Source organism: Homo sapiens, chromosome 1 (assembly GCF_000001405.40).
Source record: "Homo sapiens chromosome 1, GRCh38.p14 Primary Assembly".
In the NCBI taxonomy this organism is placed as follows: Eukaryota; Metazoa; Chordata; class Mammalia; order Primates; family Hominidae; genus Homo; species Homo sapiens.
Genome location: NC_000001.11, coordinates 121253922 through 121277933, shown reverse-complemented (window position 1 = coordinate 121277933; position 24012 = coordinate 121253922). Strand labels below are relative to the sequence as shown.

The following is a 24012-nucleotide window of genomic DNA, read 5'->3' as shown; positions in this document are numbered from 1 at the left end:
CCAACCAACAAATAGCTATTATGTTTCTGAAATAATTGTTTTTCATTCCTTATATCCATGTTTTCCCCACTCTCGGTCCACATGCTTTCAGTAAAACTGATCCCACCCCTGCCCTCTCCAAAGATAGTGTGCTTTCTCAAATCCAGGCCTTGGCTGGGAGATGGAAGACCTGGGGACAAAGAGAGTGTGACACTGCCACTGCCATCTTGCTACCGTGAGTGGAAAGCCCATTTGAGAATGGAGTTGGCCCAGAGAAGCAGAGCTGAGAGATGGGGAGAAGGAAACATGAGTATCTGAATGAAGTCACGATGAGAAGCCAGCCCTATCCCTGGACCTTTCAGTGACACAAGTCAATTCATTCAATTTTCGCTTAAAACACTTTGCCTAGGCCAGGCATGGTGGCTCACACCTGTAATCCTAGCACTTTGGGAGGCCCAGATGGGAGGACTGCTTGAAGCCGGAAGTCTGAGACCAGCCTGGTCAACATAGCAAGACCTCATCTCAAAAAAATAAAATAAATAAAATAAAAGATACATAAAAAAGAAACAAACAAAAAAACCACTTTGCCTTGGATTTTTGGTCCCTTGCAAAGGGGCGGTAATGGATAAAGTGAGGATTTCTGAAGTATGAAGTTCCCTGTTCTCAAGAAATTACAATCTAATTGTGAAGACATGATCCAAATATACATTTCAAAATTTCACATAACAATTCATATTACATAATTGCACAAGATATATAATTATATAGTACAGAAATTATGTTATTGTATACTATAAGGACATGAAATTAAGAATAAATACTACAATGAAAGTGTTGAAAGCTCAGGAAGATCAGTGGGGAATCCCATTACTATAGTCAGGCTTCTGGAGGTAGTCTAAACTTCTTGAAAAGAAGAAATTTGGTCGAGCACAGTGGCTCACACCTGTAATCCCAGCACTTTGTGAGGCCGAGGCAGGCAGATCATGAGGTCAGGAGTTTGAGACTAGCCTGGCCAACATGGTAAAACCCCATCACTACTAAAGATACAAAAAATTAGCCAGGCATGGTGGCACACACCTGTAATTCTAGCTACTTGGGAGGGTGAGGCAGGAGAATCGCTTGAACCCAGGAGGCAGAGGTTACAGTGAGCTGAGATCACACCATTGCACTCCAGCCTGGGTGACAGGGAGAGACTCCATCTCAAAAAATAAAAATAAAAAAAAAGAATAAATTTGTCTGTTCAGTTGACTAATGTACTTGTGGGACCCAGAACAACACCTAGCATTATAGTAGGCCTCCAAGTTTGTGGAGGGAAGGCAGGAGAGGAGAAAGAGAGAGAGAAAGGGAAGGAAACAGAAATCTGAAGTAGTATTCTGAGGAAGAGTAGGATTTCAGTAAATGAAGGGTGAGGAGAGGATATTCCAGAGTAAGAGAAAACGTACACCAAGAGATAGGAATGTTTGAGCGTGGCCTCTCTGTGGGGTAGGGAGGAAGATGTCCTTACTGGAACAAAAGGTGGCACTGAGGCTTGGTCAAAGATAAAGGTGCAAGAGGAGGAATAGCTCCAAAGGCCAATAGAGTAGTTTGGATCTCAAGCAGCCAGAAATGGAGCTGGTAAAAGTTTGTGTCATGATGAATGTAATAAATGGAGTTGAAGCAAGATCACAGTGAAGGAAGTCTGCTGGATGTAGTCCTATGCTGTCTAAATGAAGAAATGGAGTGAACATTAATGAGCAATACAAGCTGAATGGTAGAGAGGTCAAAATGAGTAGGAGAATTCCATGAGTGGAAAATCCCTGCACATACCAACACCAATCATTAGCAATAACACGTACTTTAGAGCCCATGACTCTATAGTATGATTCCAAACCATACTTCCCTTCACAGTAGTCAGCAAACTGGAGCCATAAGAGACATCCTTGGGTTCAAAGGTAAGACAGTAATCTTGGTGGGAGGAAGGGGGTAGTGGGGGCAGTTGTGACTGGAACTCTGGCCTCCCTGGCTTTCCTTTTGACTGTAGTTTTCTCTGATGGACTTTAAACATGGCCATCTTCAAAACTGTCTGCCCTGTGCGGTAGATTATTCCAAAGCTATGAAAGAAAGAAACACTCCTCCCCTTACATTAACTCCACACTACCTAAAAACAATGCATGCACCTTTGGTAACAAAGAGAAACCAGCTAGTGGGAAAGAGAAGAAGAAAAATGGCCCTACAAGTTTCCAAAAGACGTTCAGTCATCCATTAACTTTCCAGCCCCAAGTGAATGCACAGAAGACAATCTCATAAAGCCAATGAGAGGGATATTTCAATATCATCGTGACTACTTTGGCAGGCTGCCTTAGTTCTTTCAAGTGACTCAAAAGCAAGTTAAAGACAAAAGGATCCCAAGTGAAAAAGCTGCCACATCAAATGCCAAAGTAGTAATTTTAGCTCCTAGGTCTTGCCTGAGATGTTTAAGAAACAGAATTCTCAAGGTCCAAAATTTAGAATTAACTTGTACCACAAACTAAAGATGCAGGATGTGAAGACCAGCAGCTCCTCTGGGAAATGTCACCTAGTCTGATGCTCCTGATTCATTGCTAGTGACAAGCTGCAAGTCAGTTCCCAAGGACCACGATAATCAACCAACAAACCCAGCAAATATTTATCTAACACCAACTCTGTGGGAAGATCTGGGTGATGAATCATTGGAACACACATGAAAATGTAAGATATTTACACAAGAAAATGTAAGACAGTCTCTTACTCTCAAGGAGCTTACAATTGAATTGGAGAAAAGGAGGACTAAATGCAAAAATATTTAAGAGTATAAGACTGGCATCCTAAGTGCCAAAATAATGGTCCCAGACTACATTAAGAGAGGAAGAAATCAGTAAAATCTAGCATGGACCTCTTGAGACCTTGGGTGGGGGGGATTTAAACAGAAGCGAGGGGGATGACAGATGAAGGGCTGTAGTTAGCAAAGCAAAGTCAAAGAGGCTAAAATGGGCAGATGAAGCTCAGGAGGCTGTGAGAAGCCTTGTGACTTGAAGGTTCACACAGAAGAGTATGAAGAGAAGGGGTAAATAAGCAGGCCAGGGCCAGCAGAGAGGGTCCTGCATGCCTGATGAGCAGAACAGATACAAACACAGTTCTAAAGGGCTCTGTAAACTCTGGACAAAGCAAAATGAGAGTCTTGAAAAGCAGGACAGCCCAAGAAGAGTCAAAGCTCAAGGAGAGTAAAAATCCAAGAAATTTCCTACCAAACAATTCCTGAAAAGACCAAATGTCAGTTCAAACATGTCCACTCTCTTAGAGGACAAAGGCACACTGTATGTTCTCAAGGCTCCAACACAATCGAGTTGAAAACAAACCAGATCAATATTAAAATCCAGACCCTACGTTCCTGTAGAGCTGGCTCTGGAGAGTTCACTTCATTTTGTGCAGGACCCAGCTTAGCATAAGTACTGGCACATTGTTTCAAGTTTAGTTCAACAAGCAGGGACCAAGCACCTATTCGTTACCAGTGAGAAGGACAAACAAAAATGATTAAAGAAGACCAAGAAGTTCAGTTGGCCCGTGAAATGCCTACAAAGCATCCTACTGGAAAAGGCAGTTGTATTCTCCTTCTGTTCTCAGGAGAGGTCAAGTCTAGAAATAGACACTTGGGAGCCATCAGCAAATATTATAGATGGCAGTTAGGAAGTTAACCAGCAAAGTGAATGCAGCTGTCCATAGACAGCATGTAGAATTAAAAAGATGTAGGCTTAGGATATCCCCATTTAGGTGGAAAGCAAAGCAAGGAGAGATAGGAAAGTAGATTAAGAATGAAGAGAGATGTACAAAAGTGTCAATAACTATGGAGTATTTAAATAAGACAGCAAGGCAAAGAGCTCATTAACCTTGGCAATGAGAAGTCTATCATTATTGAGGGCCTGCTCTGCCAGATTCAGTTTATGCATCACCCCAGATGAACACAACTACCTTGCTGCTGGCTGAAACAGTCTGCCCAGTTCCTGTTGCAATGGCTGTTCCTGGGCCTTCATATGTTGTTGATGCACCAGCCTGACAGTGCATTGCCTTCTACCCCTGCTGCGTGACTCTCAATCCCACCCAGGCTTTCTCTCCTGCTACTGAAGCATGAGACTTGGAGTGACCTATTCAATCAGCAGTCATGTCAACAACAAGTACAGAGAAGTGGAGGCTCCAAGAATCAAACTTTGACCTACAGGAGATAGAAATTGAAGAATGAAATATTTTCCCTCCTTGCCCCAGTGGACTGTTCAGAGATGCAGTAGCTTCACATAGTTACGTGAAGATGTCCCACAAGACCAAGCAATCATCCTCTCATGAAGCTATAGTCAACTTATAAGCAATCTCTTGTTATGTTCTCCCTCCTTCCCTTTCTCCCCATTCCTGCTTCCCTGGGATGACTCTTGCAAATGAAGTGTACGCTTTTGCCTCTCCCTCTAATTTATATTTTCAAGGACTCTAGACTAAGACACCTACCTTGTGACAGGTACTGTTCTGGATGTTGGGTAGACAGTCCCGTCCTTGACAAAACTTATTCCAATGAAAGAATCTGCCCAGCAGATCCTTCAGAATAGATAACCATTTATTTTTCAACAACTCAATATACATGTGAAGTGACTGGTTGGTTATAAGAACTGATTTAGTTGACCACAGTTTTTTTTTATGGAAAGGTAAACTGTCCCCACAAAAGTTATAGGCAGACACATCTTATATATTTACTAGTAATCACATATCCCATTTATTAAGTGCTTATTATGTGCCAAGTAGGCTCCTATTGAGTCACTATTCAAGTATAAAGGTATCTCACTTAATCCTCAAAACACCCCAGGGAGATTAGTTCACAGCAAAGCTGAGTGATTAAGAGGATAGACCGCATTCAGAAAAACTTGGATTTTAATTGTAGTTCTGCCACCTGGTACCTGTGTCTCCCTGAACAAGACACTTAATCTCTCTAAGTTGTTTTCATTATCTACAAAATGGAGTTTGTAATAGCAGCCACTCCACTGGATTGTTATGAAGAATAAAAGAGATGGAGAATATAAAGTGCTTGCTACATGCCTGATGCCTAGTAAGCCTCCATTAAAAGGCAACCACGATTCCTCCCATTTCACAAAGAGGGACCACTGAGGTTCAGAGAGATCAGTTAACTGCCTAAGCTCACTCAGACAGTAACAGATCACAACAGGATTTGAACCTAGATGTGTTTAATTCTTAAAATCAGTGCTCTTAACCACTCTCCCCCATCCATTTGTTTCTAATGCTGAGATACGGCCTCATGTGGTTGTCTGTCATAGTGGAATCTTTTAGTGCTAGGCTGGCAATGTTGATTGGTTAACAAAAAGAATCCCCGAATTCCTTCACCTTCACCAAATTAAGAATCCTCATTCTCGCTGTCTTAACTCTGAATGTTTAGGTGTATGTGTTGGGAAAGAGGGGGAACCACCTTTTTACCATTTCTTCTTGAAGGCAATAGCAGGAAAAAGTCCATGCCATCATCTAGAGATGCTATCCACTGGAGAGGCCGCAGAGAAAAGTCTGACCCTGGAACTGGACTGCCTGGGCTCAAAATGCCAGCTCCACCACCTACTAGCTATGTGTGACCTTGGGCAAATTACTTATCTCTCTATGAAAGAATGTCCCTATTCTGTAAAATTTTGTTAATAACAGTATCTACCTCACAGAGTTTTTATGAGTTAATATTTGTAAAGTTATTAGAATAATTCCTGGTACATTATACTGTAAGCACTACATACATTTCTTCTTCTTTTTTTTTTTTTTTTTTGAGATGGAGTCTCGCTCTGTTGCCCAGGCTGGAGTGCAATAGAGCAATCTCAGCCCACTGCAACCTCTGCCTCCCAGCCTCAAGCAATTCTCTTGCCTCAGCCTTCCAAGTAGCTGGGATTACAGGCACCTGCCACCACGCCGGGCCAATTTTTTTGTATAGAGACAAAGTTTCACCATGTTGGTCAGGCTGGTCTCAAACTCCTGACCTCTGGTGATCCACCTGCCTTGGCCTCCCAAAGTGCTGGGATTACAGGCATGACCCACCGTGCCCGACTTATATACATTTCTGATAATACATAAAATCTATCCCATAGGTTCTTTGATCCTTTAACTTTTCGATAAAGAAGGTACAGAAAGTGATAGGAATTGAACAAAACTAGTGGCTTCAAACTTTGGCAATCCAACACACATGCACACACACATACACACACAACTGAAAAGTGTCATGAAACAACATTTATCCTTAGTCATGAACTCTGATATTTTCTATAACTTTTTAAATGCTGGTTGTGGCTCACTAATTTGCTTTCATGATTTAGTAAAAGGTCTCAACCTGCAGTTTGAAAAGCTGTGGAATAAACCACATGGCCACCAAAGGCAGAACTAGAACAGTCTTCAAACCACTCAGCTCCTTCTTCATGGGCTATTATTAAATCAGAAAGGGCCTAAGTTTCACTTATTGCTGTAAAAGAAACTGTACATTCCGTATCCTCCTCCTTTGCCCTCCACAGTTCACGTGAGCACTAGAAATTCAGAGAACACCCAGGAACCAGTGGGCACTTCCTATGTATGCAACTCATGTTACTGTTGCCCAATCTAAGGTGCTGCCATTCAACATCAGGGAGAGTCCTGTGGCCTGTTCTCTTAGTTTCGTCTTCCTTATTTTGAGGCCCAGCAACCGTCATCATTCACTGTACCTTTGGAGCAAAGAAGTTGCTGATCTAAACACCACAAGGCAATGTTGTTATATATTTAGTAAAAAGATTATAAACAGACTAGATGAAACTTATTAGTGGTTAAGTTTAAAAAAACAAAACAAAACACCAAAAAAAAAAACAGTCCAGCTGGGCGCGGTGGCTCACGCCTATAATCCCAGCACTTTGGGAGGCCAATGCAGGCAGACCACGAGGTCAGGAGATCGAGACCATCCTGGCTAACACAGTGAAACCCCGTCTCTACTAAAAAAAAATACAAAAAAAGTAGCTGGGCGTGGTGGCGGGCGCCTGTAGTCCCAGCTACTCAGGAGGCTGAGGCAGGAGAATGGCGTGAACCCGGGAGGCGGAGCTTGCAGTGAGCTGAGATGGCACCACTGCACTCCAGCCTGGGCGACAGAGCGAGACTCCGTCTCAAAAAAAAAAAAAAAACCTCCTTATCTCTTAAATATTGAAATATTCAAAGATAAATTATATCTGCTATTGTTTCAAAGTAATGGAGGAGAGTGGGAATGGGTGAGGGATACAGATAAAACAAAATTGGCCCTGAGCTGATGATTATCAAAGTAGCATGATGGGTACATGAGAATCCATAACACTAGTCTCTCTACTGTATATATTTGAAATTTTTTATAATAAAAAGTTTTTAAATATCTAATTAATGGTGTGTAAAAAAAAGGCTTAAGAGACTCACAATAAATGCAGAGGAAGACAATAAATAAAACAGAAAAAAATATCCAGAGAACTAAATCTGTGAATAGAAAAGGCCCATAATATATCATGAAATGAACACAGAAAAATCAACAAAGACTTATAATGTTTAAATTTTTGCCCTTCAAGGATAAAGAAAGAGTTATTTAAGAATCAATGGATTGCTAACAAAATACAGCAGAAACCCAGATTGGTCTCAGACTTCTCCACAGCAATATTCAAGGCCTGAAGATAAAGTAGCCATGTCTTAAAAAATTCTGATAGAGAGCAACTGTGATCCAAGAATATTAGGAGAAGCTGAGTCATCACTCAAGTGTAAAAAAGGTTCAGACATCTCTCTTCCTCTGCAACTTGAAAGATCTCAGCCTATGTAGCACCCACGAACTCGTCTTGAGAAACAGAAATCTTGCACCCAGTAGATCAATCAAAACAAAAACCACAGGAACAGGAAAGCCACGATCAAAGAACAAGTGGCTACATATGGCACCAAGACCAAAAAATGGGAGCATGCAAGTTGGAATGTAAATGTTAGAAAATTGCCAAGGCAAAAAAAGAAACAACAAAAAAAAGATAAGCTATAAAAATTGAGAGATAGGAAGAGTAGTGCAAGGAAGTTTAAAAACACGAATTACCTAATTCTTCCAGACAATCATCTAAAGTGAAGATATAACTAAAAATGTCTTTAAAAATATTAATAGTGACTTTAGCCTCCTAACAGTTTTCATAATCTTTTTTTAACCTTAGAGAAAACTTTTAGGAACTATTATCTTTGGTAGAGAAAAAAGTACAGCAGCTCTTTCACTTTCATTTCAGTTTTCTTTTCTTCTGTTAAATTCAAGTAAAAAGAAATGCAGTTATTTTTATTTTTATAGTACATATGGTATAATGCCATTCTTATAAAATTATTTCACCCTCACCAGCCACCCTTCTGTTTATGTGTACCAAATGTTAACACTGGAAGAGAAAGTCCATATGCACCATTACCAAATCCAGAGCCTTCCCCTCCTACCTGCCTGCCCTGTCTCAGCCTCTAACCTAGGTTTATCTTTCTACCTGCAAACCAGAACCCACCCCTTCTTGCTTACTCAAGCCCTTTCCTCCTAAAATTATACACTCTTATTTTCCGTATCATCATTTTCCATCTCTACTGGCCCATTACCAGCAGCAGTCAAACACACTGTATTTTCTCCCATCTTATTAAACAAACAAACGCATATTTTCCTTGATCTCTTCCCTTCTCCCAACCCACCTACCTTTTCATCGTGGCTTCTCTTTACATTAAGACTCAAAATGGTGTCCGTACTCCCTGCCTCCACCTTCTTTCTTCCCTTTTTCTCTTAAGGCCACTGTAACCAGGCTCTTGCTTCTACCACTCTTGTGGTGGGTGGTAATGACCTGCACATGGCTAAATATTGCCAACTCTTGAGACTCCACCACCACCATCACTGGCCTGAGAACACCACACTCTCTTGATATGCTACAGACACACATTCTGTCTCCTTTGTTGGGCCCTCTCCTTTTCCAACATCTAAATGCTGAAATGCCCCATGCATGATTCAGTCATAGGATCTGTTTTCTATCTCTCCTTGCTTCCTATCAGATCCCATTCCATTCTATGTCTGGTGATTCCCAAATCTGTATCTACAGTCTAGATCTCTCAGTCAACTCCAGCCTCCAACTGACTTACCATTTCCTCATAGCCATCTAACAGGTACCTAGAACTTAACATGCCCGAACCTGAACTCTTGACACCCCATCCTGACCACACCCCAGCACGTTCCCTACCCCAGTAACGGTACCACCATTCACCTGCCAGGCCACAAATCTTCAGAGTTATTATTGACTCTTCTCTTACAAATTCCCAATCCAATTCATGAGCAAATCCTATCAGCTCTACCTTCAAAATGAGTCTAGAATTCAACCCTTCCTATCCCTTCCACCTTTTGAACAGTGCAACTCAGCCTCATTTTGTTCTGAATTGCTGTGGTAGCTCCTAACTGGTCTTGCTGCCTCCTCCCTTGCTTCCCTGCAGTCTACTCTCCACACTGCAGCCCTGCTCATCATCTTTCAATGGCTTCCCAGTGGAGAAAAGGTAATGGCTTTCCAAAACCTTACATGGCCCAGTTCACCCTTACTCACTGGCCCCCAGCTACACTGGCCTCTCTGGTCATAGAACATGGCAAGCAAACACCCACCTCAGGGCCTTTGCATATGCTTCCCTTCGCTGGAAGCATACTTCCCCACAGTCACGTGGTTAGCTCTCTCACTTCATTGAGCTCTCTGCTCACAGCAGCCTTTGTGACCACTCCATCTGAAAGTGCCCCGACACTCTCTATGCTCTTACCTCATTTTAATTTTTCTTCATGCCACTTGTAAATCTATTTAGGTGTTTATCATTTTCTCCTCCCACTAGAGTGTAAGTTCCATGATGGTAGGGACTTCACTTTGTTCCCTGCTGATCCCCGATGCCACAGTGCCTCACATAGAGTAAGCACTCAATAAAGGCACATTGAATGAATGAATCAAGAGCTGTTTTTTGGGTGATGGGATTTGGAACAATTTATTGCTGGCTTCTTTTTACTTTACAGTTTTGCTTGAATTTTTTATAATGAGTATTTACTTTTTTAAAAAAATAAGCAAGAGTTATTCCTTTAAAAATTAAAAAAGGAAACCCATCAAAAATCAAAGGAGAGATGCATTATCTAGTCACCTCTGCTATATTTTGACAAGTGTTTTTCCTTCATTATTTATGATAGCTACAAAAGGATTCACAATGTAATGCCCACGGGGAATTTTTCATAATTAATGAAACCTCTTTAGAATGAAACCTTTACTGGAACAAAAGTTTTAATTGCCCAGGGCTGACCATGGAGTATGAAGACAAAGCTCCTGAGTAAGAATAAAAATTTGCAAGGTTTTCCTAAATTTTACTCCCCACTATAATATTTTTTTCAATATTGCTACCATAATCCAGATGCCAGAATCCAGGATCTGTTGGCATCCTGAAACCCAAAAAGTGTGATGGGCCAGGTGTGGTGGCTCACACCTGTAATCCCAGTACTTTGGGAGGCTGAGGCAGGCAGATCACTTGAGGCCAGGAGTTCAAGACCAGCCTGGCCAACATGGCAGAACCCCATCTCTACTAAAAATACAAAAAGTAGCCAGGCATGGTGGTGCACCTGTAAGCCCAGCTATTCAGGAAGCCAAGCCATGAGAACCGCTTGAGCCCACAAGGCAAAGATTGCACTGAGCCGAGATCACACCGCTGCACTCCAGCCTGGGTGACAGAGCAACACTCTGTCTCCAAAAAAAAGTGTGATGATCTTTCGTAATGTTTAAATACAAAATAAGAATATCCCTTTCAAATAAGCTGACACTTTTTGAACATGTAATAACCAGGTTCACAGAATCACAGAGGCCAGTGAGAAGAAGATTTAAAAGTACCCGTGTGAGCCCCAGTGACACATGCACCACCAGGAAAGTTTCCTGTCCCTGTCCCTCCAACTAATCCACAGCAACACAATGTCAGCAAGTGGCACAATCTGCCTCCCCTGCCTCCAGGCAGCCATGGGGAAGGTGGAGAGCAAAAGGACCATTCCCTGTGTCACTGATAAGTGAGGCTCAATGTGAAATACAAGGCATGAGAGGCGCCCAAAGGTAGGCGACAAGCTCAGTATCTCCCCTGTATCTTTCTGTCTCAGGTATAATCTGCATCTTCTGCTCTTTTCGTGATAAGAAAAGGAACAGCAACAGCATGTCTACTATGCAAATGTGGACTACTAATCTGGCATCATGGAACTTAATGTAGAAGTTTATGCAACCCTGAGCAAGTTTCAAAACCTGGTCTCCTAACACATATGTCTAAGTTTTCTAAGGCTCCTGACCAAGCAATAGACTGTGAACACCCCAGAAGTTCAAGCAGGTCTTCCAGGGTCTTCACACTGCTAACCGCAATCATGGCAACTCCTTCGTTTCCTTTTTTAAAAAATCAACAACCTTATTGTTTTCCCAATTATCCCTTTATAATTGGGCAGTTTAGAGCCTCAGATATATCAAGTGAGTATGCACAATGATTAGGGGTGATGAGCTAATAAACATCATTATCTAGGCCATGGTGGTTTTGCAACCACCACTTAGGCCAAGATGGTATGAGCATTCTACAGTTTTTCACTGCTCTTATTCTTTGTCATATATCATAAAATGTACAGTCATAGTGGACTGTGGATTAAAAACAAGAAGTTGGCTGGGCATGGTGGCTCAAGCCTATAATCCCAGCACTTTGGGAGGCCGAAGGGGGAGGACCACTTGAAGTCAGGAGTTCCAGACCAGCCTGGCCAACATGGCGAAACCCCATCTCTACAAAACAATACAAAAATTAGCCAGGTGTGGTGTAGGCACCTGTAATTCCAGCTACTCGGGAGTCTGAGGCATGACAATCACTTGAACCCAGGATGCAAAGGTTGCAGTGAGCAGAGATTGCACCATTGTATCCAGCCTGGGCAACAGAGTGAGACTCCATCTCAAAAACAACAACAACAACAAACGAACAAACAAAAAAACCAACAACAAGAAGTCTAAGACATTGATAAAACCCAATTGTCAACTAGAAGCATAAAAAACAGTACCAAGCCATCCAATTCACATCTAGATGATTTTCACCAGATCACTAGGTTACATTTACCTGATTAAATCTTTAGTATTTCAAAATCCAATATTAAAGACATAAGATATAGAGATAAACATATCCAAATTGGCTTTGTAACTGTTAGAGGAAAGGCATTCCATAGCTACAAGGTGTTACTCCCTTGTAGATATGCAGTTGAAACTCTCTGTGGTAACCGCTACCATGTAGAAACAAAACTTAAAAATTACATGTAAGAAGCAGTCATTCTAGAGTGTGAAATGCAAAAATTCCAAACATTAGGTCAAGAATGCAGGTTTCTCTTATTTTTAAAAAATGTGTTAGCAAGTAATTAAATTTCCAACTATATTTTTAATGTATATTTGGTCTCAAACTAAGCACTATATTTTATTATAAATTTTAAACAAATCACACGCTTACATAATTCATTTAAATAAATTAGTGTATATCACCTATTAAATGAGAAAACATCTTTATATAAAATGGACGCTATTAAATTTTAAAGTGTATATTAAAATAAGCTGTATAATAATTTAATAATGTTGATGTAAAAGAAAATATTTTACATAAATTTGCTTTATAATAGTCTATAAAAGTAATGACATTATTTTTTAAATTCCTGAGGGGGTTCACAAAATTATATTACTCTGAAAGAAGTTCATTTTTTTTTTTTTTGAGACAGAGTCTCACTTGGTTGCCCAGGCTGGAGTACAGTGGCATGATCTCGGCTCACTGCGGCCTCTGCCTCCTGGGTTCAAGCAATTCTAGTGAGCCTCAGCCTCCCGAGTAGCTGGAATTACAATGGTGTGCCACCATGCCCGGCTAATTTTTGTATTTTTAGTAGAGATGGGGTTACACCATGTTGGCCAGGTTGGTCTTGAACTCCTGGTCTCAAGTGATCTACCCGCCTCAGCCTCCCAAAGTGCTGGGATTATGGGCGTGAGCCACCATGCCCTGCCCAAGTTCATAAATTTTTAAATGTTGGGAAATACCAGTCTAATATAAAAGTCTTTTTAGTCAGACTCCAGTAATTTAAACCAGCTTCTTGGGCCTGCCTTCCAAAGGAATCTAGTCTACCAGAGAAGACAGACTACCATAAGAAGTAATTGCAATGTAAAAAGCCCATTATCGGGGAAAAAGACGATGCTGTAGGAGTATACAGAAATTGGTCTAGGGCTCAGCAAGGGGCTTGCAGAGGAGCTAGATGTAAAGGATTGGAATTACCTATGGGAAGAAGGCAGGAAAAGTACTCCAGCCAACAGCATGTTCAAAGGCCCAGAGGCAACAGAAAAGAAGCTGCATGCAAGGAACCGAAATAATCGAAGAAATTCAGGGTAACTGAAGCATAGAATTTAAATGAGAAGAGGAAAAAAAGATGAGACTGTTGAAAGAAGCAGGGGTCAAGCTCTGGTGAGTATTGCAAATAGTCTGAAGAAGTATGGAATTGTTCCTAAGAGCAATGGGAAGCTATTAATGTGAACACAGAGTGGGAATTAGATAAGCAAAGTACAATGTTTTTAATGACATAAGTGTTCCCCTCCAACAGAGAGCCAAAGTAGAAGGGAAATGTGAGACTTTTCATTTTCAGAGGGCTCAAGTGTTCTAAGAATCTTCTAATAATGACTCCCTCAAGCTGAATCTTCCAAATAAAGCAAGATGCAAATACTCCCCCTCAAAATGCTGACAGCCTGGTGATCCAAAGGCTAGCAAGAAAATGACCACATGCCCTGACCTTGCAAGTAGATCAGTCTCATCATTTAGATATTACAGACAGCCCCAGAATCACTGTGTGAGTCAGAAGATTTGGGCCTCTGAGTTTCACTTTCCTCATCCTAGAAACTGTGGTAAGAATTTATCCCCTGCCTACCCACCTCACACCATTTAAAGGTCACTTTTCAACCACATGCCTCAATAACATAAGTGGAAAAGATTCTACCAACTGCATTGACTCAATCCACCAGAAAAAGACAACAAGAAGCAAGAAAATGCTTCATAACGTACAGTATGTCTAAAGTTATCAAGCTGCCTGATCATTTCACACCTCTGAAAAAACATCCTACTGTTCAAATCCATAGATGGGCATATTCAGAATTTGCTTGAGGCAGGAACAAAATTCAGAGCCAAGTCAGCTAGCAGTAAGAAACACTGAACTAAATAAAAGAACCAAATGAAAGACATTAAAACTTAGCATTTGATTCAATCTGGTTCTAGGCTTAGGTTGGATGCAGCTGACAAAAGTGAATCAGCCTGGAGCTGGTGAACTCAGGTTCTGGACCCTGAACACACTACATGACTTGCTTTGATAGAACTTCTGTAGAATTTGTCATGATTTTACATGTCTCAAAAAGTTATTAGTAATTTTAAAAATCAATGATAATGTAAAAGCAAAGTGTTACAGGTTCCAACAAAGAAAAGCACTGAAGTTTTTTTTTTTTTTTTTTTTGAGACGGAGTCTCACTCTGTCGCCCAGGCTGGAGTGCAGTGGTGTGATCTCTGCTCACCGCAAGCACCGCCTCCCGGGTTCAAGTTTTTTTTGTTTGTTTGTTTTTTGAGACAGAGTCTTGCTTTGTCACCCAGGCTAGAGTGCAGTGGTGTGATCTCAGCTGGCTGCAACCTCCACCTCCTGGGCTCAAGCGATTCCCATGCCTCAGCCTCTGGAGTAGCTAGGATTATAAGTATTTTAGTAGAGACAGGATTTCGCTATGTTGGCCAGGCTGGTCTCAAACTCCTGACCTCAAGCGATCTGCCCAACTCAGCCTCCCAAAGTGCTGAGATTACAGGCATGAGCCACCACACCCAGTCTCAAATTCTTATTACTATGTTTGCCAGTATTTTTTAAAGATATGATAAAAAAATGGTTTTAAATTATTTTACAGGTCTCCAGGTTCCCTGGGCAGGTGTGTATTATGTCAACTTGATTTAAAAAATTTTTTGACATTAGAATACTTTTAGAGGAAAAGACACAAAATAACACAATAGCTTGACTGGATGAACCTGATTCCCTTGGAAATTTCATTTTCCTTTTCAACAAAGTAGTCTTCCCCAAATTTTAGAAAAAAAAACCCGTATCCCAGTTCTTTATTATTAAATGGCACATTTCTCAGAATAAAAGGCTGAAAGCATAGTTCCTCTAATTCATAAACTGGAGCATTTTACACTGTATTATGACACTCAGTACAATGTACAATAATTAGCAATTTACATCTGTCTTCCCTGCCAGGTTAGGAGCACCGTTAAGTCCAAGACCATGTCTTATTCATTGTTATATCCCAGCACCTAGCGCAGAGCTGGCATAAATGTTGAACTAAAATAAATGGAAATGAGTTGTGCTTTCCCTGTCTTTAACAATGAATCTTTGGCGGATTCCAACAAAGCCTCAGAGTTAACTATGTGTAGATCCTGGGTCAGCTAAGGCTCACAGTAAAGATTTCTGCCTAATTGCCTCTATCTCCACTCTTCCTTCCCCTTCCCTCTCCACCTCCAGAGGGGAGTTCCCGCTGGAAATTGCACAATTCTTTGTGCAGAGAGAAACAACAAGCTTAGTTCCTGTTGACCTGAAGAGCATAATGTTCTGGCACAGGATCTTCCACCTTCATAGAAGAGTAACAAACTCAATTGGGATTATTTTTCTAACTAAAACTGTCATTTGATGTCTTCTTTTATCTCACCAAGATACAACCTTCTGAGCCACTCATCTTCTATCCTCATCAGTTCCATAATAAGCAAATACAACTTTGGGACAGTCTGAGACAGCGTTTTCTGAATTTTTTCTGACCACAACCCATAATGAGCAATACATGTTATAATGTGATCCAGTATGTGAACACATGCACACTCACCCAAAAAAGTCTGACACAACAATATTTACCCTTTTTGCATCCAATTCACTTTACAATTTTTCATTATTTTTCTATCCTATTCCATTTACATTTTGAAGAAAGCTGGTGAGTAGTCAGCTAAAATGGCTCCACAACCTACTCTGCAAAGGAGTTGCAATCTGCACTTGGAAAAACACTGGTCTATGGACAGGGCTCTGGTCAGTGTTCTCAATAACAGTTTGGAGACTTTAAGCAGTAACACGACAGCTTTCAAAAACAAAACAAGGGCTGGGCGCAATGGTACGTTCCTGTAATCCCAGCTATTCAGGAGGCTGACGGGAGAATTGCTTGAGCCTTGGAGCTGGAGACCAGCTGGGGCAACATAGTGAAACCTTGTCTTAAGAGGAAAAAAAAAATACAAAATCAGGTACACAAAATGAAATTCTCATCCAAAATAAACCATTCTATATCCTTCCTTGAAAAACCACACCAACGCTGGACTTTGTAGCACAAAGACTTGTAAGGAGGTCGGGGCTAGACTAGATCCAGATATGCCTAATATTCAACTAGGCCAAAAGAACTGCCCCCTCGCCCGCCAATGAAATGAAATGCCTCCAAAGTGATCCTCTGGCTATGTACATCCGCTAGCATGCAGGTGGGTAATGAAGAGAGTGGAGACAACCAGCCGATTTCTTCCTGGACTTTCTGAGTTTCAAAGTGCTTTCACTTCTATTATTTCATTTAATGAGATGCTGTCAGAAAGTTCATTTCCAGAACTGGAAAGTATTAGGTGGTAGAGAAAAGCATTTCAGGGCCGAGCACGGTGGCTTATGCCTGTAATCCCAGCACTTTTGGGAAGCTGAGGCAGGAGCATCACTTGAGTCCAGGGGTTCGAGACCAGCCTGGGCAAAATAAGGAGACCTTGTCTCTACAAAAAAAAAAAAAAAAAAAAAAAAAAAAATAGCCAGGTGTGGTGGTGCATGTCTGTGGTCCCAGCTACTTGGGAGGCTGAGGTGGGAGGATTGCCTGAGCCCAGGAGGTCAAGGCTGCAGTAAGCCATGATCACACCACTGCACTCCAGCCTGGTGACAGAGAGACCCTGCCAAAAAAAAGAAAAAAAAGAAAAAAGTGTTTCAAAATGCTGTCTGGGGTAAGAGGGTTAACAGTGGGAAAACATGTTCAGAAATTAACTAAAATAATGTCAAATATGCCAAAAATCGTAAGTATTTGAGATTCTTGAAGCAGACGAAGGGAAAGGTTGGGTTGAGAGTAAGCTATATAAGTATTCCTGTTCTGTATGCCAGAGAATGGGGGGTGGGGGCGCATGGAATCTCATCAATTTACCAAGTCCCAAAAAGAGTAGGTTCCAGGTCTCTAGTAAGGCTTCGATGCCAGGTTTTGTATATTCTCCCTTATAATCAACTTTCCCCTCAATTCTTAGAAAGATCTTATGGAGTTCAGAAGACGATAAAGATGGAAAGTTGTAAGTCCTGAGAGATATAATTGATGTAGATATAGATATTTACAGAATAAAAGCCAACAGCCTATCATGGTATGATGTAATCAGGCATCTCCTCCCTTCCTCCTAAAAACCTCTCACCCTCTCCTCTCTGACCTCATCTCCTAGTACTTCCACCTCATTCCCACCAGAGCACTCTGCTTCAGCCACAGTGGCCTTCTTGCCATTCCTCAAATACACCAAGCACACTTGAGCCTTAGGGCTCCACCTTAAGGCCTTTAAACTGGCTGTTTCCTCTGCCTGAAATGCCTTTCCCCCAATATCCACGTGGCTTACACTCTTACCTCCTTTAAATTTTTGCACAAATGTGACCTATTCCATGAGGCCTCATCTAAAAGCTCCCTACCCCTTATTTTAAAATGCAACCTGGGCCAGGCACAGGTAGCTCACACCTGTAATCCCAGTACTTTAGGAAGCTGAGGTGGGAGGATTGCTTGAAGCCAGGAGTTTGAGACCAGCCTGGGCAACAAAATGAGACCCTGTCTCTAAAAAATAAAAATTAAAAATTAAAAAATTAGCCAGGCATAGTGGTATGTGACTGTGGTCCCAAGTACTTCAGGAGGCTGAGGCAGAAGGATCCCTTGAGCCCAGGAGTTGGAGGCTGCAATGAGCTATCATGGTGCCACTGCACTCCAACCTGGGCAAGAGAGAGAGAGACCTTGTCTCTTTAAAAAAAAAAAAAAAAAAAAAAAAGTAGAAGAAGAAAGAAGAAAAAATTTTAAAAAGCAACTCCCCTCACAACTACCCAGCATTCTTGATGCTCCTTACTGTACTTATTACCTTCTAAACACTAGCAATTTATATATTCATCATGTTTATTGTTTGTCTCCCTCTTCCCCAACTGAAATGTTAACTCACAGAGATCTTTATTGTATTGACTGAAATAAAGCATCTAGAGTAGTGTCTGATACATGATCATCAAAAAATACCTGTTGCACAGATGAGTGAATGAATAAATGAATGAATAATTGTAAAACATATAAGTATATCTTCACCTACTTGGTAGTGGCTAAAAGAAAAAAAGGGTCTTCTACTCTATTTTCTTCTCTTTTTTTTTTTGAGACAGTCTCACTCTGTCACCCAGGCTGGAGTGCAGTGGCATGATCTTGGCTCACTGCAAACCCTGACTCCCTGGTTCAAGCAATTCTCATGCCTCAGCTTCCCAAGTAGCTGGGATTACAAGCGTGCGCCACCATGCCGGCTAATTTTTTAAATTTTTTTATTTTTGCATTTTTAGTATTTTTCACCAAGTTGTCCAGGTTGGTCTAGAACTCCTGACCTCAAGTGATCTGTCCGCCTCAGCATCCCAAAGTGCTGGGATTACAGGCAAGAGCCACCACTCCCAGCCAGAGGGCCTTCTACTCATAGATAAACAACTGAAATGCAAATGTTCACGGACAGCATTACAATGGTCAAACTACCAGGATAAATTAATAATATCAGATCCTCCTCTGTTTTCATGAGGGAGAAGTTATCTGCAAGGTAGGATTGGCAGCCACCACAAAGGAAGGGAAAAGAGCAAAGACAGGAGGGATTTAAGACAAAAACAGCAACTTTAAAAAGTTCACTACTTATCCATGAGTTATTTCTATTAACCTTTAGCAAAGCAGGAACAAACAAGTTTTAGGAAGATAATTTTGTCAAGCTTCTGAATACCATCATCTAGACTGATTTATTAAGAAATATGTCTTTACCTATTTAATATAGACTTCCTTATAGAGCAGCATGGCTCTGAAGCATGAAGAAAAACAATTTTGCCTCATTTTGGCAAGATCCGAAACCAAATTTATCCAATAGCCAGACTGTGAAAGTCACCAAAATTTTGGGTGTGACTATTGGCCGTAAAGAGTGATAGATGGCCTGAACAACATGGAGAAATCTCGTCTCTACTAAAAATACAAAAATTAGCCGGGTGTGGTGGCACATGCCTGTAATCCCAGCTACTCAGGAGGCTGATGCAGGAGAATCTCTTGAACCCAGGAGGCAGAGGTTGCCGTGAGCCAAGGTCATGCCATTGCACTCCAGCCTGGGCAACAGGAGCAAAACTCCGTCTCAAAAAAAAAAAAAAAAAGAGTGATAGATGACCATTTGGGGATGTATCCTAAAAGCCAACAGCTTGGATATCCAATCCTGGAACTTCAACAGGACTAGGCAGCAAATACTCAGCTGCTGTGCAATTAACAAATTCAGAATCCGCAGCTTGCTTCCCTGTGGGAAGGGCACCACCCTAAAAACAAAATAAAAGAAGACTCCTCATCCATCTACTCCTCAGTTTCACTGTGGAACTCATGCCCTGGAGAGAGGTAGGTTTATTTCTCATCTGCAAGCAGAGTTCCCAGCCTAAGGAAAACCCCAGAAAGGATTTCAGGCCACAAGGAGGCAATTTCAGAAGGATGAGGCCATAAAACAATTATAGAGGAACGGGTTAATCTGTATCTGGTCATAATCCATATGCCCAAAGCAACATCACTACAAGGTAATCTCACATCAGTCACTGGCTTTTCAACCCAGGCAATTTTCTTCACTCCACCTTCCCACCCTTCCTCAACTCCACCCCCTACCCCACCCCCCCACCCCACACACAAAAACAACAACCAAGTTTTATATAAGGGAGGGGAAGTGGAAAGAAGGCAGAGGGTTAAATTTCTCACATCTAAGGCTCTCGGCAACCTGAATTTACTGAAGCCACTCTCCCAGGAGGGGGCATATTGTGACCAAGCTTTCCTGCTTACCTCCTGCCATCTGCAAAATTAAATTAAATGGTCCTTCGCTTCTGAAATCCTGCCATCAGTGACCAAAGGGAACATCTGAGTATACCAGTCAGAGATCATGGCTTTTCTTTTTTACCAATACACACAAATCATTATGAGATTAAGTTTCTGAATGGCTAATGTGCATCTTCATAAAGAAGCTAAACATTCAGTCTAACACCCACATGGAAGGGGTTGAAAGGGACTAGAATTGCACTTGCTGCTGCCTTGGAAGATGATTAAAAGCAGGACAGGCAGAAAGATGATGGCATTTTCACCTCACTTTCACGGAGTAGGGATATTGGGGATGGACATAGGAAGTCAAGCGCCAAGAGCTAAAGGGTAAGAGAAAAGGGCTATTAGAAGGCAATGGGGCCTGGCATGGTGGCTCACACTTGTAATCCCAGCACTTTGGGAGGCCCAGGCTGGTGGATCACGAGGTCAAGAGATCGAGACCATCCTGGCAAATGTGGTGAAGCCCTGTCTCTACTAAAAATACAAAAATTAGCTGGGCATGGCGATGCGTGCCTGTAGTCTCAGCTACTTGGGAGGCTGAGGCAGGAGAATCACTTGAACCCGGGAGAGGCGGAGGTTGCAGTGAGCAGAGATCGCGCCACTGCACTCCAGCCTGGTGACAGAGTAAGACTCTGTCTCAAAAAAAAAAAAAAATTTAAATTTAAAAAATTAAAAAGAAGGCAATGAGAAGACCCCTGGAAGGGAAGAATATCCCCTCCAGTCTCCTCACCCCAAAGGAATTGCTCTCTAGGGGGTTAAACCCATAGACATTAGAAAGCCTGTGGTCACCACACTACAGATGACTGCTCTAAGGCAAATAGAGATTTAAAGCAAAGCAGGGTATTCCTGATACTTTTTGACCTTTTTGCTCTGCCAGTTTCCATTTTCTGACCCTAAAACCCAGACAAAAGATTCTGATGTCTTTAGCCATCTACCCCCCACCTTCCCCTGACTGAACAATTTGATTCGACAATTATTTCCACACCTACCTAGTCTGATTTCCAACACGACTAAATTTGGAACAATGGAAGCAAGTGGGTGAAAAGGAACAAAGAAAATAAAATTCAGGAAATGACAATCTTCAGAGTAACAATATATAATTTGAAAAGTAACTCAGACCAGGAACAGACTTTATTTGAATATAAAATTACATACAAATCATATTTAATTCAAACCACTTCAATCCAACAAATCTTCACTGAGCACCTACTACTATGCCCTGCGGGGAAAGACAAAAAATACTTGGTCAGAGCCCCATCCAGTCTAAAACACAGCAGGCTCCCATTCCTGCACAAAGAGACTTTGGGGAGAACCTGTAAAGGCTCTTGATTAGGGATATATCATAAAGAACCTGTGCCCACCTAAAGATCACTCTTAACAGCATTTTTGGACCCATTTATCACCTCCACAACTCCAGAATGGACAAAGAGGAAAGTTACAGGGACTGAGGTGGAGAGAAAAAATAATACGATTGCCAGCAAAGCTCAGGAATATACGCTTTTTGATGAGACACCCAGAAGGGAGAGTAAAAGAAAGAATCTTTACATCATATTTTTCTTTGAGAAATTACAATCCACAAGAGAGGTTGTTCACCAAGATTTTTTTTTAACCACCCTAGTTTTTTGTTTGTTTGTTTTAGACAGGGTCTTGCTGCGTCACCCAGGCTGGAGTGCAGCGGCATGATCATAGCTCACTGCAAGCTTGAACTCCTGGGGTAAGGCAATCATCCCACTCCAGCCTCTGGGATTAGCAGGGACTACAGGAACACACCATCACACCCGGTGAATTTTTTATTTTTTATTTTTAGTAGAGATAAGGTCTCACTACATTGTCCAGGTTGGTCTTCAACTCCTAGGCTCAAGTGATCCTCCTGCCTTGGCCTCCCAAAGTGCTGGGATTACAGGCATGAGCCACCATGCCCAGCCCATAGTAGTTTGTTTTTGTTTTTGTTTTTGAGACTGAGTCTTGCTTTGTCACCCAGGCTGGAGTGCAGTGATACAATCTCGGCTCACTGCAACCTACGCCTCCCGGGTTCAAGTGATTCTCCTGTCTCAGCCTCCTGAGTAGCTGGGATTACAGGCACATGCCACCACACCCAGATAATTTTTGTATTTTTAGTAGAGACGGGGTTTCACCATGTTAGTTAGGCTGGTCTTGAACTCCTGACCTTGTGATATCATAGTTTTTAATAAGCTCATTTCTCTTTTCCCCTATCTTGTTCTGAAAGACATAGAATTTTCAGAGGGAGAATTAGGAATAAAAGTATCTCTTGATCTGGGATCTAGGAAAAAATACTAGGACATCAGAATCAACGGAATGAAGGGATAGAAAAAAAAAATCCAAGAAATTGGGAACAAGGGAAGTCTGCAAAGCTCCTGGTCCCACAACGTCTACACTCCCAAGACCAATATCCCATTGTAGAAGCACTTATTCTGAAATCATAAAAACAACTTCAACCCATAAATTCTCATCTCTCAACACAGTGACCACCCACAGACGGATTTTTACGAAAATGAAGAGTTCCCCTAGAAGCCTTAACTCTGAGGGTCATCAAAATTAGAACAATCTTTTTTGAGCTTACACACTGCTGTCCTCAAGGGTTGCTCTGGGGTCAGTCTGAAACTGAAGTGATATCAGACCTCTCTGACACTTATTTCTAGTGTCAGTATCTGCCAGCAACTCACCAAGAGCAAAAGTCCAGGGAGCCCCTTCAGGGAGAAAGTTTCTCACTCTGGATCCCAATTCTACTCTGAAAAATTCAACTGTACAACTAATATTTTACAACAAAGAGGTTCCATTTTAAAAACCCAAGGACACAGAGGGACAGCCAAGGTGACAAGGCTCAAATTCTGATAGAAAATATAAATCCCCAGATATCCTCTTCCCCTGTTCAAGGGCAAAAGCTGACCAGGCCTAGGGAGGAAAGACTCCTGTACAGTCTGGTACACACCACTCCTTCTGCTCATTCCTCCCAGCAACCACTCTTGTTGGGAGATGAATGCAGTCAAATGTTCTCCAGTGATGCAGAGCATTCTCCCATTCTTCAGGGCTTCAAAACAAAGCCAAAGAGCTGCCTGCTGTATTTCTGTACTCTTATAACACAGTGAGATCCAAGGACTTCCAACCATCTGTGTGCCAACCCCCAGCTACTCTAAGACGTAAAAAGTGGAACAAAGGAGTTTGTGGCTGCAAAGATGGAGAGAAAATGATGGCTTAAAAGAAAGGCATATCGTTTTCCTTGATAATTATTTTCTTCACTTTGCTTTTCTGTATTTTCCAAACTGTCTATGATAAACATGTTGCTTTTCTAATTAGAAAAAGCAGGAAATGTTATTTTAAATGTTTTTTTAAAATCAGCAGAGCACTATCCTGAACGCTTTAACGCAATGGTCTGGGGGTACCTATAACACGCCTTGGGGAGGGCAGGGGATGGGAGGAGGAAAGAGAAAGAATGAATGAAAATCCAGTTTTTAAAAAGAGGAAAAGAAAAACTAGGGGGTTGGGGAAAGATGGGGATTTCCTATGCATTAATGTGCACACTTAGACTAAAGAAAAAAATTGCTGGGCACAGTGGCTCACGCCTGTAATCCCAGCTCTTTGGGAGGCTGAGGTGAGTGGAGGAGCTGAGCTCAGGAGTTCAAGACCAGCCTGGCAAACATGGTGAAACCCCACCTCTACCAAAAATGCAAAAATTAGCTGGGCATGGTGGCGCATGCCTGCAGTCCCAGCTACTCAGGAAGCTGAGGCAGGAGAATTGCTTGAACCCAGGAGGTTGAGACTGCAGAGAGCCGAGATCGTGCCACTGCACTCCAGCCTGGGTGACGGAGTGAGACTCCATCAAAAAAGAGAA

At 41.7% G+C, this 24012-nt stretch overlaps 1 protein-coding gene across 2 annotated transcripts in view, besides 3 other annotated features; it reads right to left on the bottom strand.

The window, feature by feature from the left end:
• SRGAP2C (SLIT-ROBO Rho GTPase activating protein 2C) overlaps positions 1 to 24012 on the bottom strand; it is a 207900-nt gene that overhangs the window by 114941 nt on the left and 68947 nt on the right. The window lies entirely within an intron of this gene.
• Positions 6330 to 6399: an enhancer, noted in NCBI's record as "active region_1606". NCBI's record gives its function as "activates an Ori minimal core promoter by ATAC-STARR-seq in GM12878 lymphoblastoid cells {active_cell/tissue: GM12878}" and the evidence as "EXISTENCE:reporter gene assay evidence [ECO:0000049][PMID:35858748]".
• Positions 6500 to 6549: an enhancer, noted in NCBI's record as "active region_1605". NCBI's record gives its function as "activates an Ori minimal core promoter by ATAC-STARR-seq in GM12878 lymphoblastoid cells {active_cell/tissue: GM12878}" and the evidence as "EXISTENCE:reporter gene assay evidence [ECO:0000049][PMID:35858748]".
• Positions 19862 to 20423: an enhancer, noted in NCBI's record as "NANOG hESC enhancer chr1:120765266-120765827 (GRCh37/hg19 assembly coordinates)". NCBI's record gives its function as "activates a minimal SCP1, AML or CMV promoter by ChIP-STARR-seq in naive and primed H9 embryonic stem cells {active_cell/tissue: H9 hESC(naive and primed)}" and the evidence as "EXISTENCE:reporter gene assay evidence [ECO:0000049][PMID:30033119]".